The sequence below is a fragment of the Homo sapiens genome, chromosome 12 (assembly GCF_000001405.40).
Source record: "Homo sapiens chromosome 12, GRCh38.p14 Primary Assembly".
NCBI classification, from domain to species: domain Eukaryota; kingdom Metazoa; phylum Chordata; class Mammalia; order Primates; family Hominidae; genus Homo; species Homo sapiens.
Window position 1 is genome coordinate 105,204,325 of NC_000012.12, and position 18,517 is coordinate 105,222,841.

The 18,517-nt window shown below is 45.0% G+C and overlaps 1 protein-coding gene across 14 annotated transcripts in view; it reads right to left on the minus strand.

Moving 5' to 3' along the window:
- Nucleotides 1-18,517, minus strand: part of APPL2 (adaptor protein, phosphotyrosine interacting with PH domain and leucine zipper 2) — a 62,875-nt gene that overhangs the window by 31,025 nt on the left and 13,333 nt on the right. For 8 of the 14 annotated variants that reach the window (XM_006719472.2, NM_001251904.2, XM_011538532.4 and 5 more), the window contains 6 exons: nucleotides 13,342-13,401; nucleotides 12,745-12,816; nucleotides 6,906-6,993; nucleotides 3,834-3,875; nucleotides 3,647-3,723; nucleotides 2,737-2,883 (listed from right to left, as the gene is read on the minus strand). In XM_006719472.2, the coding sequence (XP_006719535.1) occupies nucleotides 2,737-2,883; nucleotides 3,647-3,723; nucleotides 3,834-3,875; nucleotides 6,906-6,993; nucleotides 12,745-12,816; nucleotides 13,342-13,401 (486 nt within the window). The remainder of the gene's footprint in view (nucleotides 1-2,736; nucleotides 2,884-3,646; nucleotides 3,724-3,833; nucleotides 3,876-6,905; nucleotides 6,994-12,744; nucleotides 12,817-13,341; nucleotides 13,402-18,517) is intronic. The other 6 variants (XM_017019554.2, NM_018171.5, XM_017019551.3 and 3 more) reach the window with 1 other exon arrangement.

The window sequence follows — 18,517 nt, forward strand, 5'->3', positions numbered from 1 at the left end:
TCGTCTGTCTGACCTGGAAGCCTCCCTTTCCTGGCATGGCGGGCACCAAAATCGACCTCTGACCCTGAAGAGGCTAGCAGGTATTCTCAGCATAGTTCTGACGGCTTTGCATCTATTCCCCAGATACCCTGGGAAAGCATGTATTCTAATGTGCTTAGTTATCACAGGTTAAAAACGGATGATTGTGGTCATCCTAACACAGGTGATACATGCAGGGGACTGTTCTGGCCCCATGATCTTTAAATCATACAGAGATCACCACTGGAAATGCCATTTGGAACTTCTGAAGTGTTAAATATCAAAATGAGTATTAATCATTTAATATCATTAATTTGTTAAATCAGCACTCTGCATTTCTAATGGCACAATGTCATGGTGGCCTCCCTCTCCTTCCCCTCCCTGAACTCCTTTGGAATTTACACTCCTAGGCCATGTCTTAGCTCCTCTGCTATTCTGTAATCTCCTTAGGGCAGGGGCTCACATAATCCCTAAGAAAAGTGGGCGAATGGATGAACGGAAGGCAGGTAAGACACTGGCTCTACAGCCGCATCACAGCCTGTCCCGTCAATGTAACACTGGAGGTCACTGTTCCGTTCTCAAAAACCTGCGCACTGATTACAGAGCCTCAGTTTGCAGGCATGAGGACCGAACATGACTTCAAGGGCTGGAGAAGGCAGGAATGGAGTCCCCACACCTCCACAAAGGTGGGTGGTGCCGAGAAGCCTGATGAGTCTCCACCACAACTGCCTTAGTGAGCAGCAGGAAGTGCTATGTTCATGGAAAAATCAGCTCACAGAGGCTGGGGCTCAATAAACCCTGATTGCCAAGGTCGGATGAGGCAGGAGGACAGCTAATGCTTCTGAATCATCCAGAAGATCACTCCACGGTGCCAGGCAACAAACTTGTCTGGCTATTGAAGGAGCTATTGTTTCCATCTGCATTTAAAAATAATGCATAGGGAAAGGGCCTACTTGGTCTTGTGTCTTGAAATCTGGATACGAAAAATGAAAGATGCCATTCTCAGCTCTCAACAATGATGCTCCTGCCACTGAATAATGACGGTGTGCTCTGCTGTTCCCCCAGAACTGGGGCTACATGTGTGCTACGGTACCCACAGCTCCTCTTCTCCCTCTGTGGCCAGAGCACTCACTTAAGAGAGTCCAGGCTGGGAGCAGTGAGGTAGTCCTTGGCCATGAATGAGAATGAAACCAGCTGGTGTCAAGCTTGTCCTGTAGGCCTTGCAGGACACCCTCTTATCAAGCAAGTTCTACAGCACTGACCGATCAGGACCAGAGCTGATCATCCTTCCAAGATGCTAGATCTGAGACCCTTCCCGACCCTAGGCCTCTGACTGAGCAAGGCTACGGCCCCAGAGGGATGGCGTCAATCCAGGAGGGGTTAACTAAAGAGAACAAAGAGAGCCCCGGCATTCTCTAATATGGCAAGGCCATCTGCCAGCTGTGATACTGCCTGCAGGAGAGGGGAGGGCAACAGTATGAGTTACTGCACACCTGTGTGCACAAGTGCCCATCATAAGCACCTGGACAGCTCCCAAGATCTGCTGAGGACTGATGCCGCCCACAGCTGGGTGGTGCTACTTCACTCAGAAGACACAGAAAGACTTTATCGCTCTATTTAAGTATCACTTCCAAAGGCACAGGCTGACTTCAGTGAACTCACCATTCAACAGCCTAACAACTAGATTAACAAGGAAGACAACTGAGCTTGGATATCTTCCGAACCCATTTCCCATTTGCCCTGAGAGTACTGTTCTGGCAGTGAGCTGCACTTTTTTTCTCTAAACAGGAAATGGGTTAAAGCTCCTCTCTCATTCCCCTTTTTGTTGAATGACACTGACGTGAAGTTTTTGTTTTTTAATATATGTGCCTTAAAAATGTATTATAGAAGTATTAGATGTTCATATATCAGGTATTTTTAAGTTGGTGACTTTTTCTTAATAACATTTTGCTTCCTCGCATCCCCTTCTGTTCCTAGATTGTCAACTGAGAGAAGATTCCTGGGTGCCTTTCTCACGGGCCAAAGGATGGCTTTGGAGACAACGTGAGTGGGGCAAACGCAGGATGGGGTGGAAAGTGAGGGGGTGGTGCCATCAGCCTCACACTCACGGTCACTCGTCTCCGCCGCACTGGTGCCACTACAGTCAACTCCCCATCCTCAAAGTAGAGCCTCTCTTAAGACAAATATTCAGCCAACCATTAAATAGGAGGATAGAAACCCAATAAGTAAAGGAGACCTCATAAAGCACTGGCAACGTTTCCCCATGCCCAGATGTTAAGGTGCTGGGATCATCTAGGAGAGGTGCACCTGAGGAGCCAGCAGAGCGGGGGCCTTACTACAGGCAGCAAGGAGTGCCGGGAATCCTGGGTGACAGGCAAGCTATCCCAACCCCAGTGGTAGCTGCTTCTAGGAGAACTGCACCCAGCTGGCTTTCATTCGGATTAGAAAAAAAGGGCCACACAGGCTCTTCCCCAAGAGAGGCTTGGGACCCAGGCCTCATTTCCTGAACATATGGCCTAACTTGAGGCCAATGCATGTCCAGCTGAAGATGACCCAGCTCAACTGGAAGCTGTCCAAGTGCTGAATCCCACAAAGTAGCCAGGGAGATTGTGCATTTATGTTTCTTTCTACGACGATGCTTCAGTGTCTCCTGCGTGCCCTCTCAGCAGAACGCCACAGCTAGCTTAGGTTTCAGCCCTCAGGGAGGGACTCCCCTACCTGTCCATGGGCAAAGCCTATCATGGGCTCCATCATGGCCATTTGCTTTCTGTACTGCAGCGCGTTGAGGGCACAGTAGTACTGAAGGGAGGAGAGGTGCTGCTTCCGCCGGGCCGCGGCCACCTCTTTTCCGACTTCGGTCTTCACCTGGTTAAAAGGTGAAAGGAAAACTTCAAGTTGTCTACTGTACGTGACAATTCTGTAAAAGCGTGTGCTTCAAAATGTGTGTTTATGCATTATAACCATTTTTGTGACAAATATAACAAAACACAGATAAGGCTGCACTTCAACTTTCTAAAAAATCCAAATTAAAAATATGCAAGAAACAGCATCTCAGTGCTTGTGAGGCCGCGGTGAGGTGAAGCCTGTACCCTCCTGGGAGCAGTGCAAAGTCCTACAGTCCTTCAGGATAACAATATGGCAGCATGTACTGAAGAAGGCTGCAGACATTCTAGTTCACTCATAAGACTGTATGCCAAGGAAATAATTTAGCCCAAGGAAATCATGTAACAGAAGTAAAAAGTTATATGCATGAAAATAGTCAATATTATCTAGAGTAGCGAAGGTCCTAGAAAGCATGGGTTAAAGAATCAGAGTCAACACTTGGGGCAAGGAGTTCAAGTGACCTGGGTGATAAATGAGTCAGACGAGGCAGCAAGCTGAAGTTAAAACCCCTGTGTGATCATAATCTTACAGTGGCTCTAAGCTGGTGTTTAATAAACCAGTTTGAAAAGATAGAATAGAGAAGTGGAGGTCTACTTATGAGATTTGGAATGAACAATTTTAAAAGTCCATGTATAGTTAAAAAAAAAAATAACCACGCACCCTTTCATGCCATAAATTCACAAGAGGAAGGCATGAAAGGCCTTTATGTAAATGAAGTGAAAAACAACATGTAAAGTATTCTTACCTTCTCATTCTCCTTTTTCTTAGGCAGCCTGCTGTATTTTGCCATTGAGAGGTCATGCTCTAAAAATAAACAGACATCTGAACACCCAGGAGGGTCAGGGTCGAAAGGGAAGAACATTCATTGGGGGTCTCCTCCCCGCCACAGTAAGCCCACACACCCACACACCAGGAATGGAGAAGGTGCCTACCATTGCTAGCGAGTCCAAATAGATCCTTTAAAGTGCTTACTTCTGAAAAGGAGAAAAGGGACCGTCTTAGAGCAATGAAAAATAAAACATGCCAACCCAGAGCTCTGCACTTTCCCCTGAAAATAAGAGAATATGCGTGCAAGGGAAGCCCCTGCACCCTCAGTCCCTGGCTCTCACAGGCTGGCCCAGAGGCTGGGACCTGGGCTCACTGGAACATACGGCTTCAACCATGCCCCACACCCAGTGACCCTGATGGCCTGAGCAGCCCTGCCTCTCCACATAGCGCTGAGGGTCTGTGAGGGAGAGGGCACGCCGGGGAGGTGGGCTGGACAGTGTGGTGGACAGGTACTTTTCATGGAGACCTGGAGTATAAACTTAAGTTCTGATGCCTCAGCCCCCAGATAGAGTGTCTTAATACATCTTTCTACACCCAGAACCTAAAAGCTTCCTGTGTTGCCATTTTAATATCTGACTTACTGGAGTCATCCCTGGACAAAGGAATACGCGGTGCTTGTACTAATGAAAAACGTGACACGATCTAGCATACTGTAGTTGCGACAAGCCAACACCAATAACTATTACTCCGAGTGAGTGCCACACCCATCATGCACAGAGATGGCTGAACCAAGCCCAAGACCAAAAATCCAAAAAGATCATTGAGAGCAGTGACCGTCCAAGGTTAGAAACTTAAAAACCCAACGATTGATACCTAAAAGAAAGTGACACTTTCTACAATTCTACAACAATCCATTTTCATTTTATCAAACAAAGCAAAGCCATTCACATCTATGTTGGTTATACTAGTTTTCAATTTGCCTCCAAACTGCCTCCAGCTTTTAAATGCTCTTCGCGTTATTCATACTCTTTTGGTATCAGGCTACTTTCTGCCCTTTCCTGCTTGCATTTTTCTTTCTTTCTCTCCCATCTTTTATTTCCTGTTGGAGTCAAGTTTTAGGTTTCTTTACTTATCAATTTTAAGTAGTTTCCTTAATATCTCTTGCGTTCTCTTCATTCAGATTATGTACTTGTGTTGGTGAGTGAATAAAGGCCGAGAAATGTAAGATAAAACACCACTGTCTAGGCAGAGGGGAGATCAGATTCTAATTTGGTCTGATGTTGACTCAGGTATGACCTGGGGCCAAATACTTCAAAGTGAGGTCCTGATGGCATCAGAAAAGGATGTTTAACCTTTTTCAAAGATACTAAGAAGATTCCTTCTTACTACTAACGAGCAGTTTTATTCCACTTAAAAAAAATCACCATCCTGGGCAAATACTACTCATCCACATTTGGGGTCACTCTGGATTAATGGAGGCCACTGTCATTAATGCTGCTGGGCACTCTCAATTCTAGTTCTGCCTCCCATAAGCAAACCTGAAAGACATAAATCTGACAACATAGGTCTTAGGAGATGATTATTTTCTTTCAAACAGACTTGGAGTTTGTTTTTAAAATGACATCCCGTTCACTTCTAATGATTTTATTTAGAGAAAACCCTTCAAAAAAATGCACCCACTAAGGCATTCAGTGAGGACACAATCATCAGCAGATGACTGAGGCAAGCATGTTTTAGCTTCCTATGCAATGACAGATGAGCAACACTAAAAAGCACTAAAATTCCTGCTTTGTTTAATCAAGGTTTCCCTTTATGCAAGCAAATGGAGGCATTACTTGTTATTTTTTATTTATTAAGTTTTAGTGCTGCCAAACTGACCTTAGGTAGAGTTTATGCCAGTTCTATCCTTGTTCCTTAGCCTCAGGTGACACCAACACAGGGGATCTCAAAGCAAGGGAGGAAAATCTTCACCCTTTTTTTTTTTTGAGACGGAGTCTCGCTCTGTCGCCTGGGCTGAAATGCAGTGGCGCGATCTCGGCTCACTGCAACCTCCACCTCCCGGGTTCAAGCGATTCTCCTGCCTCAGCCTCCCGAGTAGCTGGGACTACAGGCATGCGCCACCATGCCCGGCTAATTTTTTATAGTTTTAGTAGAGACGAGGTTTCGCCGTGTTAGCCAGGATGGTCTCGATCTCCTGACCTAGTGATCCGCCCGCCTCAGCCTCCCAAAGTGCTGGGATTACAGGCGTGAGCCACTGTGCCCGGCCAATCTTTACCTTTAAGACTTGTCTTTAGATTTACTGCAACCTTCTCCGCCCCAACCCCCGCCGCAAAAAAAGCTTAAAGTGATATATTTTTAAAGAGTAAGTAATATACTGACCAGATCTTTTAGCATTCAGGTTTAGGCTTTTTTGGGGCCAGCAACTTGTTTATATCAGTGTTCTAGAAAATGTAATTCTTAAACTCTAAGTAATAAATACTTCCAATGAAGAGACAATAGGACTAGAAAATGTGGAGTCCCTTTTCTAACATCAGCGAAGTTTTTTCAAGATTATTCACGCTTTTTTATGTGCATTTTGTGACTACTTTGATTTCTAAGAAATATAAAATTGTCCTAACGCTTTATTTTAGTTGAAGAACCAAAATTAGTCCAAAAGGACAACTAAGTTTTCTGACTGACTCACAGATTCCCTTACTCACTAACTGGTAGTTCCATAAGAGCAGTCCCCATCCATCGTTCACAGCTGCATCCCCAGAGTCTAGCACAGAGAATGCATGGTTCCTATCCCGTCTTCCCCTTTCTCCAAACCCCGCTTTCCATTCCAAAGCATTCACGGTTCCCCCAAGAACAGCATGACTTTACAAATGTCCCCTAATCTGGAACACAGCCTTAATGTCATTTTTCAAAACCCAGCTCAGAGATCACCTTCTTCAGGAAGCCGTCCCTAGCACGCCTTTCTGTGTGCTGTTTCTACTCCTGTGCGTCTCTGTCCTGCTACCCTCAGCAAATGACATTACAACGATCTGTTTCCACACCTGTCTTCTCACTGGCCTGTGATCTCCTTTAGGTGAGCCGGGAACACAGTGGGAAGTCAGTAAAAGTTCACTGAATTGAACTGCTCAAAAAGAAAGGCATTTCTCAGCGATCCACACATTGAAAGAAATGCAGTAAGAATTATTATGAAATGCATTACACAATATTTTGAAGGTAACTGGCATTGAACTCAGTTACTTTACCTGTGAGATCCTTTTCTCGGAATTGTATGATAGGTAGAACCATTGTGTCTGCCAACTGTTTAGCCAGCTCTGTATGGAGAAGATTAAGCTGAAAGAAAGAGAATGGTATTCAAGTAAATTAAATACATTATTATTATTGACATAGTCTCATTTCACCAAGGAATCACACTGAACACTTCCGTGTGGTCACAGAGCTCAGGCAGACTTCCTCAGCAAGTAAGTACCCTTCATAAAGCAGTAAATGATATTGGCCTAGAAGCATGAAAAATGAAATGCAAGGTTCTAACTGACCAGGGCACCAATGAAGCTTGCTAACAGAGTGTCTGGGCCCACAGTTACCCTGTTCACTGGGCAGACTCTGCTTCTTCTGTGTTCCCACTCTGGGCCCCACCCCACTGGAGAATCCTAATGCCTGGATGTGCCTGCAGAGAACACAGCCAGCTGTCAGTGCTGTCATGGCTCAGGACCTCGCCAGGCTGCTCGACTCTCTCACTCTCCAGGGAGGCTGAAGCCACGCCTGAAAGATGGGCCTGCTGGAAACCTACTCGCCTGAAAACCACGGCCAGCTATGGGCCTGGAAGTGACTCTGGAGAAAGAATACTCCCTAACGGCTAGGCGTGGTAGCTCACGCCTGTAATCCCAGCACTTTGGGAGGCTGAGGCAGGCGGATCATGAGGTCAGGAGATCGAGACCATCCTTGCTAGCACAGTGAAATCCTGTCTCTACTAAAAATACAAAAAATTAGCCAGCATGGTGGCGGGCACCTGTAGTCCCAGCTATGTGGGAGGCTGAGGCAGGAGAATGGTGTGAACCCGGGAGGTGGAGCTTGCAGTGAGCCGAGATCGCACCACTGCAGTTCAGCCTGGGTGACAGAGCGAGACTCCATCTCAAAAAAAAAAAAAAAAAAAAAGAATACTTCCTACCAAAACAACTCTGCCAGATTTCAGACCTTTAGTCTAGAAAAGGACCTGAGAATAAGATAACTGCATTTGGATGTGATGCTCCTCACCAGATGATTTTAACAGCCCTTGACTCTTTCTCCCCTTCTACCTCAAGGACTGAGTAAATTCTATCTTTGTAAATTATCTAGGAGAAATAAAAATTATCCCTATCAGTGCATTTTTGAGTACTTTTTGCATGCCAGCTTTATACGCTCAATACTAAGTAGTTCTCACCCATTCTGTGAGTTAGGTATTATTTATCATCACCACTTTACAGACATGCAAATAGCTCTCCAAATCCAGAGGGCAAATAAACAGCATAGCTGGGCTTTTAATCTGGGGCTGGTGAGATCTAAGATTCGTTTACTTTCCACTACATAGCCTGGGATACAGAATTTGTCCTTTATGCTCACGTTTGGGAATCTAGACGTTGGCAATGAATACAGTGGAAGGGATCTTCCCACTAGACCACAGACTTCCAGATATTTTGGGATTCCTGCTGGGTGACTAAGGGGAAATCACCCAGCAATCACTTTTGGATTCAACATGTGGCAAAGTTTCTTTTAGCAGTGCTGGCAGTCACGCATATTCATCAACCTTCTGCACACGCATCTCCCAACAGATCTGGTCCTTCGAGGCTGTGGCTTCAGAGGCCACTCTTACAAGCTTAAAGACTTGCCTAAGGTCAACCATTTGCCAGGCAAGGAAGCACCGGGGCAAACTGCTAACACTTTCCCTATCGCTCAACCAAGTCAAAGCATGGCAGCTGTATTTGAGGGTAACACAGGAAGACAGCCATGCCAGTAAATGCCTTCAGAACAGAATGTGATGACTACTTTTCCAGAATAACTTCTATAAGAAAGGTACTGTTTTTCATTAACAGTTAACAGGCTCTGTGCTTGACGCTTTGAGAGACATTATTTAATTCAATCAATATAATAGCCCAATTAAGTGGGCCTTGCTGATGCCATATAAGATGGAGAAACCAAAACTCAGAAAGATTAAGTGTCTTTCCAATGGTTATGCACTACAGAAATGGTACATTTCCCAGCTACTCATTTTCTCCCCAAGAATTAAGGGGGTTATGTCATCAGCTTTTAACATGGGGCTTTTGAGCTGTGAGTTGTACAGGATAATCACTGCTAACCAGAGCACCTTCACTCAGGAGAATGGAAGGGGAATGCATCACCTCTCACAACTTTAGCATCACCATATAGAAAATGGGGACAACAGCATCTTCCTTGCATGGCTAAGGCATGTGAGGACAAGACAGTGACATGAACAGGACACACTCAGAGCAGAGTGCCTGGCATATATGCTCGGTCTTCAATCAGTGGACTCTAATGACAATGACATCCTGTCTCAGGTGCACTCAAAAGAAGTGGTCCAGAAACTCTGCTTTTAGGGAAATCACCATGCGTGGAAATCTCTGTGTGACTTATAACATGGAAGATCTCATTCCAACGCATTCTATCAGGTGTAAGCCACATAAATTTCTACTTTTTGTTGAACTTTCCTGTAATTTCTGAGTCAAATAACTTGCCTTAAAATTTTTTCAACCTGGTTTAGGCCCAGGTAGAGAGAACAGCTACTCCCCTCTTCCCAGATTTAGGCCCCACCTGGGCTAACTGCTATCACTTTCTGGGTCTTTACATCAAAAGGTTTGTTTGAAAACTCCTTGCAGAGCTAACTCTTCCAGGGTGCCATGATACTACCTGTAACAACCACACTTCTGGCTGGGCGTGGTGGCTCACACCTGTAATCTCAGCACTTTGGGAGGCTGAGGCGGGCAGATCACTGACGTCAGGAGTTCAAGACCAGCCTGACCAACATGGAGAAACCCCGTCTCTACTAAAAATACAAAATTGGCCGGGCGTGGTGGTGCATGCCTGTAATCCCAGCTGCTTGGAAAGGCTGAGGCAGGAGAGTTGCTTAAACCCGGGAGGCAGAGGTTGCGGTGAGCCAAGATCGTGCCATTGCACTCCAGCCTGGGCAATAAGAGCAAAACTCTGTCTCAAAAAATAAAAAAATAAAAACCATACTTCCATCCTTTGGGAACTATTCACTCCCTACTAAAACAATCATCATTCCTGCCCATGACAACGTGGTTGTAAGTAAATATTTTAAACTGGAAATCTTGCTTCTGGGGTTTCGACAACTAACCGCGTTTCCTTAGCAACTCTCTTCTCAAGCAAACATGTGACTCAGGAGTGTAGTCTATTGCTTCTCGCCCTGGGTTATCTTTCTACTGTTCATTAAGGAAAACTCTTCCCCAACCTTCCAAAAATCACTTTTGCTCCTCTATAATCACATCTTCTATGTATCTTTTATCCATTTCAACACATCTGAGAGAGAGCCACGCAGTGCATGTGATATCATGATATAATAAAAAATATGTATTTGGTCTTTGCCCCCAGTTCTTGGCATAGAGCTCTGAAAACCCTTGTAATTTCCTCATCAATAGAAGTGCTAGGAGCATATTTTGTTATAATACTTGGTCTTTGACCCCAGTTTCTGACACAGAGATCCTAATCCTTTGGAATTTCCTGGATGATGGGAGTGTCTTTTGTTCTGATGAGGCAACTCCTGGTGGCCTCCAGGATAGGGGCTGGTCACCAGAAACACCAAACCACGATTATGAGCTTGGAGCTTTTAGCCCCGCCCCCATCTTCCAGGAACGGGAGAGAGCTGGAGGTTGATCACATCTATGTGATGAAGCTGCCAATAAAAATACCTGAACTGCAGGGTTTGGAGAGCTTCCAGGTCATTAAAACACCTGGCAGAGCCCAGAGGGGTGACGTCCCCAGAGAGGGCACGGAAGTTCCACGCCGCCTCCCCTGTACCTTGCCCTATGTATCACTTAATCTGGCTGTTCATCTGTGTCCTCTGTAATATCCTTTATAATAAAGGTAAATTTAAGTGTTTCCCTGATTTGTGGGCCATTCTAGAAAATAATCAAATCCCAGGGGGATGTTGCAGGAACCCCTAGTTTATAGCTCGTTTGTCAGAAGTACCAGAGGCCTAGACTTGCAATTGGCATCTGAAGTGTGGGGGAGGGGGTAGTCTGGCGGGATCATGCCCTTAACTTGTGGGATCTGAGGCTATCTCCAGGTAGATATGTCAGAATTGAGTTAAATTGTAGGACAGCCAGTTAGTGTCACAGAATTGCTTGATGTGGGGAAAACCCACACATTTTGGTGACCAAAGTGTGCTGAGTGCTGAAAGTATAGAAAGAGAATGAGTTTGTCTTTTTCCTACTGTTTAGTAGGGTAGAGGACAAAGCCCAATAAAAATCATATGACGTGTTCACTTTTACATCCCCCGTGCCTAGAACAGCGTCTGCTAAATAGGAGGTCATCAATAAATGTTTGTTGAATAAATAATGGCTTGTTGAACTGGTTTGTTGAATAAACGAAAATGCAATCAGTACAGTTTTATATGAATGTTAGTTTCTCATTTTGTAAACTGAAGACAGTATCTACTGCAGATCAATAACTGGTCAGTTAAATGGCATCTGCACACTCCTTTATGTTTATTCTTTATCATGATTTTTTGAGTATTCAAACTCCTTAAAAGATGGAACTATTTGGCCAGGCGCGGTGGCTCATGCCTGTAATCTCAGCACTTTGGGATGCCGAGGTGGGCGGATCACAAGGTCAGAAGACCGAGACCATCCTGGCCAAGATTTTTAGTAGGGTGAAACCCTACTAAAAATACAAAAAATTAGCCGGGCGTAGTCCCAGCTACTCGGGAGGCTGAGCCAGGAGAATGGTGTGAACCCGGGAGGTGGAGCTTGCAGTGAGCCGAGATTGCGCCACTGCACTCCAGCCTGGGAAACAGAGCGAGACTCCGTCTTATAAACAACAAAAAAAGATGGAACTATTTATATCTACCTAATTTTGCAGAGTTCTGTCCAGCACTAGTAGCATCTGAGCTCTTATGTTTTTTACAATTAGAATTTATGCACTTTTCCTATAATACCTGGTTTCGTTTTTTACAAATATTCCAAATGTACTGTAAAATATAGCTATAAGAACAGTTGTATTAAACCCTTTGTAGTAAGCTAGGCATGGTGGCCCATGTCTGTAACCCCAGCACTTTGGGAGGCTTAGACAGGAGGATCCTTTGAGGCCACAGTTTGAGGCCAGCCTGGGCAACAAAGCAAGAGGCCATCCCTACAAAATTAAAAAATGAGAAAAAAATATAAAAATAAACCCTTTGTAGTGGGTTGAACTGTGACCCTCCCCTAAAAGATATGACCACCCAGAACATGTGAATATTTGAAAAAAAGAGTCTTTGCAGATGTAATGAAGGATCCTGAAATGAGATCATCCTGGATTGTCACTAAATCCAATGCCAAGTGCCTGTATAAAAAGAGAAGACACAGAAGAGGAAAAACATGGGGGGTAGAGGGGATGTAAAGCCAGACTGGAGTGATGCTGCCACAGCCAAGGAACACCTGGAGCCACCAAAAGATGCACGAGGATTCTCCCCGGAGCCAACGGAAGCAGTGTGGCCCTGCCAGCACCTTGACTTCAGCCTTCTGGCCTACAGCACACTGGGAGGGAATAAAGTTCTGTTGTTTGAAGCTACATATTCATGGTAATTTACTATGGCAATCTGAGAAACTAATATACTCTCCTTTAGAAACCGAATTCTCAGAAATCTTTCTTTTGGTCTATTCTTCATATATATCGAAGCCATTCCCCTCAAACCAGAAACAAACATTAATAGTTAGTGTATAACCTCTCCTAGGAAAGGAGCTTTGTAAGATCAAGAAGTTGAGATACCTTCTCAGATATTTAAGTAGAAATTTAAAAATGGAAAGTGGGCCAAAATAACAACAAAAGAAAGTTCGAGAAAGAATCAAATACAAATTTTCTATGTTGCTATCTTACCTCATCCACCACTTTGGAAAAATAGTGGAGTGTTGAAATTACTTCTTCATCACCTTTGCCAAGAGCAAAGTTCTAAGACCAAAGAATAAAAGAAGCAGGTGTTAAGTGAATACTGGGGAATTCAGCACGAAGCATCACCTGCAGAACACGACCCTCCACACCGACGTCCTTTCTTCTCCAAGAGCACGTCCTATCAGAAGTGTCTACCTGAAGAGGGAGTCACAGCTATCCCCTTTGTCCTGCCCCCAGGGTGCACTCATCTGACCCTCCCTGGCCATTCCTTTCTGTCAAACATATTTTTTGACTTTATTTGAGTGTTTATTTCCTGGAATTGCTAATGTTGATTCACTTGTAGTTCCTTGGAGACTTGGAACCCTCAATGGCAGTTAATTACTTCTAGAGGCTAATTAGAATACCTCATAAAGACTTTGGGATAATCACTGATTTCAATACATCAGTGGAAGGGAAAAGACAGGACAAAAAAACTATGAAGAAAATGAAACAAATAATTTAGGTCTCTAAGGATGCCTCTGGATAATTCCACTTAAGAAAGTCCTGAACACAGCAGCATCACAGGCCACATAAATACCAAGTTACCTGTTTTTCATATGCCAGCAGTTGCTTAGAAAGCTGTTGTGTGGCCAGGCACATCTCATTCTGTGGAGAGAAGAGAAAAAGCAAGTAAGATTAGTCCAATGTATACATAGTCACTGAAAAATGCCATCTCTGAGAATCCCTTAAAAAGTAATATTGGCTGGGTCCAGTGGTGCACACCTATAATCCTAGTACTTTGGGAGATTGAGGCAGGAAGATCACTTGAGACCAGGAGTTTGAGACCAGACTAGGCAACACAGCAAAACTCCATCTCTGCAAAATAAAAACATTTTTAATTATCCAGGCAGGATGGCATGCACCTGTAGTCCCAGCTATTCAGGAGGCTAAGATGGGAGGACCCCTTAAGCCCAGGAGGTTGAGGCTGCAGTAAGCCATCATTGTGCCACTGCATTCTAGCCTGGGTGACAGAGTGAGACCTTGTCTCTAAAAAAAAATTATAAAAGAAAAAAAAATCCCTTTCCACCATATGGAGCTAAAAGAAAAAAGAAGAAGAAAGCATATGTGTGTGCCTGTCAAATAATAAAATGTTTTGTTCAGACATTTGGAAAACAATACCAAAACAAATCAAAAGGTTAAAGCTTGCTATTTTATTTTTTAACCCTTTACAAATGACTGCTCCTTCTGGTCAGTCAGTCCATAAAGAAATGTAGTGAGCAATTATAATGTGCCAGACATTCAACAAGGGCACAGTCCCTGTCCTCATGGGGCTTTTCAGGGAAGCACGCATCAAAAAAATAGTTACAAGTGTGATGAGAACTGCAAAAGAAAAATACTGGCTGTGTTGGGAGGCTCTGACAGACAGTCTCCAGGGAACAGATGTTCTGAAGACAAACTAGGAGTCAGCCATGGGGACGAGCTTTCCAGGAGGCGCCAACACGTGGAAGAAATGCACTGCCTGTCTGAACAGCTCTGAAGTGGAGCGTGGCTGGGGCAAGAGCTGTGCGCTTGGAGGTGATATCAGGCTGGGAATGAGGCAGTGGGAAGGTGTGCAGGCCCCCGGGGCCCAGGCTCACACATACTGGAAGCACAGTGGGGACTGAAGCAGCATATGACAAGGTCAGATTCCACCAGGCTTAGAACACTCGCTGGCAATGATGGATGGTAACAGAAGCACAGCTAAACCCAAGTATCCCAGAAAACCAGAGGAAACACTGCTCTTCAAGAGCTGCGATGCCCTGGGAGGCCTGTTTTGTGCCATTTTCACCAGCCCGTACTGCTCATTTTCCTCTCCTCTTGTTTATTCCTCTAATCTCTGGCTACACAGCGGTTTTCTACCACTATCCTCCTACCACTGATGTGGGCAGCCTAGAAAACTTGCCTTACATTTCTAAAGCTCAGTTAAAGCTTAAGATTCAGGGTTTATTCCTAAGGAGCAGAGCCACTGGGTCTGACATGGCACAGATGATGGGAGGACACTGGCCTACCTCCTTGGCCTTGGCCTCCACTGGCTATTTCTCCTGGGGTTGTTGTTCCTTTAAGGCTAAGTCCTGAGCTCTGCAGGAGCTTATTTTATTTTTCCCAGTCCTATTTGGCAGAATACAGTAGAGCCAAGTCCTACCTTTTTTTGACCCTCTTCGCAGACAACTGGCCAACCTGTTCCCTGACTTCCTGCTCTGCCCTAAGGAATAGGCATTAATAGACCAGGAAACGTGGCTCTTTTTCCTCAGAAGAAAGTCAGACAAATACAACAAAAGTGCCTGGCTCTGACATCCTACTGGTATTCAACCCCTTTCAAAACTAACCAGAAATGTGACTTCTAGCCACATAGTCAGGAAGTCAGCAAGTGGACAAAGCCACAAGCACAATGTCCTTCATTCAGATAGGAACGTCCAACAATTCTTAGCACACAGCAAGCCCTCAACAAATGTTTGATGAATGAATGAATGAACAAGATTAGAAGATTCATCTAAATTCCAAGTTTAAAACAATACCTGAAATCATGGTGTAAGGGTTTTAAAATCCTTCCTAACTGTACAAGGAAACATCACAAATGAAATAAAATACAAAGCAATTGGCCAGAGACTACTACCTGTCAACCATCTTTAGCAGTGTTGTTTTGAAGATCAGAGTGCATGGAAACAAAGGTCTTATCTCACTCACTGGGCTGATACTCAGCTATGACTGAAAATCTCGTGCTCCTTCTTTCTGAGTTAGCAGCAGATGGATTCATTCAAGCTATCTTGGCATGTTCCTGAGGGCAGCACCATGTGGAACATGATTTGCAGACCCACAGAATCATTGTAACAGCAGCTAACATTTACAGAGGGCTTCATTCATGCCAGACCCTATGCTAAATGCATTCTGTGCACGACCTCATCTAATTCCAATGACCCTGTAAAAGCAGGTTCTAATTAATAACTCTATTTTATAGATGAAGAAACTGAAGCACTGAGAGATTAAGCCACCTGTGCAAGGATACACGGCTGATGAGTGGCAGGGCTGGGATGTGAACCTGGAGCTGTCCGATTCTAAAATCCACACTCCTAAATGCTACTGAGATCCCAAGTTCTACCACAAGGCAGGAGAGGAGAAGGCCTCTGCTTTACACTAGGGTGGGCAAACTTTTTCTGTAAGGAGCCAGAGAGTAAATATTTTAGGCTTGTGGGCCATATATGGTCTTTGCCACAACTATTCAACTCTGCTTTGTAGCACAAAAGAAGCCAGAAATAACATATAAACAAGTAAATGTGGCTTCATTCTGATATAACTTTATTTACAAAAATAAGATGCTGGCCCAAGAGCCATGGATTACTGATCCTGCTTTGTCATCAGATGTCTCAAAGACCCATTCTTTTGCCACACCCTCTGCAGGAGGCTCTCTTAAGCTACACCATTTCAGATCCCAGGAGCTTCTACTCTTCTAATTCATTCTTTTCTTTATTTTAGTCAACTCTAATATGTTACTTCCCCATATATGCCTCCTTCAGAGACTGGTCAACACATATAACCACCCTCCAGGCCTTCCAAACAAGCAGGGACCATGGGCCACTCAAGTTCTTCCTCAGAGCTTACTGGCAAATGCTCCGAATGTAATGGAAAGACCTGCCAGGGAACTGCCAGCATCAGGCTGTACCCAAAGCTCAAGGGGAGAGCACTCATGTGCCACTCACACAGCCACACAGCTCCACCTCCGCTCAGGGAAGAAGGGGCACAGCGTGCAACACACAACAGCTGCCTTCCAAAACGACTTCGAACAACCAGACTCTCTGGGTCTCTCCTAGGAATACCATTTGAAAATGCTGCGTGTTTTCCTATGTGTAATATTTCAGGGTGCAAGACCAACTATGATTCTGTGCAGCCAGTATGAGTTCATCGGAAACCAACATGCTTACAACACAGCCTGTCACCTGCCCTGAACAGAGCACATTGTGTGAAAAGTCTTTCAAAAGAGATCAACTTTAATCTTACTCATACTTAAGCTACTGTACACAAAGGTTGTAAGAAATGCTTTACCAACATCAGCTAATTAATCCACGCCCTGTGCCCTGTGAGGTAGGCCTGCAAAAATATCTCTACAACAGGACTTGCAAAACTGGAGCCCGAGTGAGGAGTAAATATTAGCAATAACATCAATAAAGATAGCTGCTAACCCTGAGTCTGCCCTAAGTGCTTGATGTTGCTGTTAAATGTTTTTCATATATTATCACATTTAATCCTCACAGTGCACCCATGAAGTAGATACTATTATTATTTCCATTTTGTAAACGTGGAGACTAAGCTTCAGAAAGGATAAATAACTTTCTAAAGCCACATGACTAGTGACTGGCAGGCAACAACTTAATGCAGGACTCGAAATCAAAAGCTCATGTTCTGACTATTATGCTATTCCAATCTAAAGTCCAAAATTGCACCTACTCAATACTCAGGTGGGCAGGACCTGTAGGGCCCATAGATATGAACCTAAGTCCCACACTTTTCTAGTGGTAGAAGAGCAAAAGACGTGGGCTAAAGTGGGAATTCTCAATGGAGTTCCATGAGCAGCATTGTTTTGGGCACTCTGGGCCGCTCTGGCTGCCATCTACACTATGCACCGCTTTGTGAGAAGCCCTGAAAGGACACCCTGAGGAGGGTTTGCTGACAGCATCTCCCATGCTCAACAGAACCTCCCGGGGCTGTTGCCAAGGCAGAAAATCAAGTGGCTAGCAAGCCTGAAAGGAAAACTGGGCATTTGGCAAAGGAATGTTTATCTTTCTGTAGCACAGAACGCTAACTAAATGCAACTGTCACCTGAAACCCCCAAGGGCCTCTGTGCGCAGCAGCATCCACGGTGAATATGAATGGAGAGGCTAGAGAGTGGGGTGGAGGAAATCCACATCGATCTATACCAACTATTTGGCTGGAGATGTTGCCTAGTCACATTCAGTACCCAGTGTTTATCACAAAGCTGGCGGTCACGGGTCGCACTAGTTCAGGAGCCCCTCGAGACAGGATGCACACAGGGAGTAGTGAGGGGTGTGGCAAGAACGCGGCTGGAGCGTCTCATGCGAGGCAGGCCACGGGGGGATGCCTGCTGGACCTGGACTTTATTCCAGCGGCAGTGGGGAAGCACCAAGGAACTCAGGCAGGAGTATGAGAAGCTCAGGCACGGGTGGAAGAAAACCAGGAGTGGTGGTGGTGGGAAGAAAACACTGAAGTGGGAGAGAGAATAGATGAGGGGGACTGATCAGGAGGCCACTTGGAGAAGCTGAGATAAACAAGTGTCTGAGCCTGAGGCAGACAGTGCAGAGCGGGGCATGGAGGTATTCCTGAGGCAGAAACAGCAGGGTGTGGTGAGTGAGGAAGGCGGGGGAGTCAGAAAGAACTGTGCTGCCCATGTGGAAGGCCAGATGGAGAACGGTGCCTTCAGCCAAGGAACTGAGGAGGGGATATGAATTTGGAAATGACAACAAAGTGTGCCGTTGAGATGTCCTTGCTTTTAGGTGGAGCTGTCCCAAATTCAGTCCTTCATTCAACACCTATGGGGCCAGACTGCTACCTACCAAACACTGAATGGGGCCAGACATGGTGTAGGGCACTGGCAACATCTAACTCTGAGCTCTGGGAGCTGAGAGTCCATGAAGGGACAAGGAAACCCCGTCATTATGTCTTAAGTGCTCTGACCAACAAGTGTACAAGGCATTTGGGCACACTGGCGAAGGGCAATGGCACTTCGGCCAGG